The 2,336-nt window shown below is 41.4% G+C and overlaps 1 annotated feature.

Annotated features, from left to right (window-relative positions):
* Positions 1,704–2,336: an enhancer, noted in NCBI's record as "NANOG-H3K4me1 hESC enhancer chr10:127202888-127203520 (GRCh37/hg19 assembly coordinates)". NCBI's record gives its function as "activates a minimal SCP1, AML or CMV promoter by ChIP-STARR-seq in primed H9 embryonic stem cells {active_cell/tissue: H9 hESC(primed)}" and the evidence as "EXISTENCE:reporter gene assay evidence [ECO:0000049][PMID:30033119]".

Raw genomic sequence — 2,336 nt, forward strand, 5'->3', positions numbered from 1 at the left:
CCTCCCAAGTAGCTGGGACTCCAGGCATGTGCCACCATACCTGGCTAATTTTGGTAATTTTTTGTAGAGATGAGGCTTCCCTATGTTGCCCACACTGGTCTCAAACTCCTGAGCTCAAGCATTCTGCCCACTTCAGCCTCCCAAAGTGCTGGGATTACAGGTGTGTACCACCACTCCTGGCTTCATTTGATACATTTACATTCATAGTTTTCGGTGGTTAGGAGTCAGAAAATAGTATTTGGATTTGATCAAAGCCTGTACCTCCCCAAAATTCCAATAAAATAAAACATGAAGAGTCATTCACAAAAGTGTCGTTTGAGTTGGCAGCCCACTTACTTATAAGCTGATGGAGGATATTTTCCATAGTGATGATAAGCACAGCAACCTCCTTGAGCAAAACTCAAAAGAGTTGATTCTCTCCTTTTAGCTGCAATGAGATATTTTCATTCTTGGCCTCTTTCCTCTTTCCCCCAAAACACGATAGAGCTCATAACTCAAGTGCTTGCTCAGTTAATGCCTGGCTTTCTGGATTCTTCTTTCTTTAATGAAGGGGGGGAATCTCAGCTCTTATGTATGTATCAGCAATAAATGCAGAGTATATACCCTTAATTGTGGCAAAATGAATTTTTGAAAATTATATTCAAATTCATTACTTTTACAATAATAATTACCTACTTTACTCTTTTCATGAATTGTAAAATAAATTTTTAGATCATTGTTTAAAGAAAGATATGCCAATCACCTTACATAAAAGAATGTTTCTGGCAACTTGAAATGGTAGTTATTTACAACAAATAGACAGTAAAGACTTTATAATAAGGGCTCTGCAAGTAACAGAATGTTTCAGCTGGAATAATCATGTCAAGAAGAGGGCAGGTGGGCAGGTGATTTTTCTTGAATCGAATTCCACCTACACCAGCCGGAGTCTGAATGCAGGAGTGGCTGAGACTCACGGCCAGGAAGACAGAGCTGTCCAGAGACAGTCGGAGCTGCGGACAACTGAAAACATCTCTGCTCATTTCCTTGCTGGTCGAAAGCACACAGGGGAGGCATTGATCTTTCCTAGCTGGACCCAAACACATTCTGTAAGAGGAAGATGAATTAAACTCAGCAGAAACTGACTTGCTCCCACAGCTGCAGAAAGAGCCAGGAGGATTTTGATGTGGGACTGACAGTGCCTGCTATGTGGGCAAGTGGAGATTTGCACCCAAAGGCCATCAGAGGCTGGACTTCAGGCCAGGCCTGACCCCCGCAAGCCCAGCAGCCGGTGACACCTTGATGACTCTGTACCAGGGACTAAGTGGCTAGAGAAGGAGATGTAGAAACCAATTCAAGACTCCTTTTTGACAATGACTTTGCACTTTAAGGTGTTAAGCCAGTCTACATGATTCTCACTGTCTTCGTACAGCACCAGTGAAGTCAAGCTGTCCAAACCCACATCAGCGTCTTGTCATGCATTTCATTCCTCGCAAGTCTGCACAAAATTTGAGATCTGCAGTGTGTTCTGCCAATATTTTCCTTCCTTTTTTCCTCCAAAAGACTTTTTTTTTTCAGGTTGTGTATGTGTTTGTTTTAAAGCTAAAAGACATCTGTCAAAAACTGTTTCATTTAAAGTAGTTTTTGTGTTTGTCTTTTCATGGAGAGGAAGATGCTTTATTTTACTTGACCGTTTGTCTTTATTCATCTGGCAAAGACCAGGCTGTCCCCTCCACCCCCAGTGATTTAGAACAGAGGCGAAGTTAATATCAGGGCCTTTGTTTAACAGCAACGACTACATCTGCCATTAGACAACTTTTACTTCCTCTCTGAGTAGCAGAGAAACTGTCTTTCCTCAACCAAAATGTCAAATGAACACCGTCCTTAAATAAGAACATGAATTTGACCTTTACCGGATGTCTTTATTCTTTAACATTCTTTAAAGATACACACTTGGAAAAGTTAGTACTTATGATACCAGCATGGATGCCTATTGTCTGTTGTTTCCAAGCTGCCAGAGGCTTTCTGATGTGAATGAAATGACTATTTCCATCATAATGGAACACAATTATTTATTCCACCTAGCAGAGTAGAGGAAATGATTGTAAAACTGAAAACACAAAATGGTTTGTTTCTACCACCGGCTTCCCACAAAAGCAGAAATCTTACTTCCTAAGTAGAACCAGACCCTCACTCCATTCTTTGCCCAACAGAAAAATTACATGGCTTTTAGCTTTAATGGCCTTTTAGGCTTGTCGCCAGAAGAAGTTCCAAAAAAACTTTTCTGGTCCCAATTTGCCCTCTCAGCCCAGTTCTTTTGTAAGCAGGGAGGAGATGGCTGGAGAGTGGCCAAAGCCTGG

Source organism: Homo sapiens, chromosome 10 (assembly GCF_000001405.40).
Source record: "Homo sapiens chromosome 10, GRCh38.p14 Primary Assembly".
NCBI lineage: Eukaryota > Metazoa > Chordata > Mammalia > Primates > Hominidae > Homo > Homo sapiens.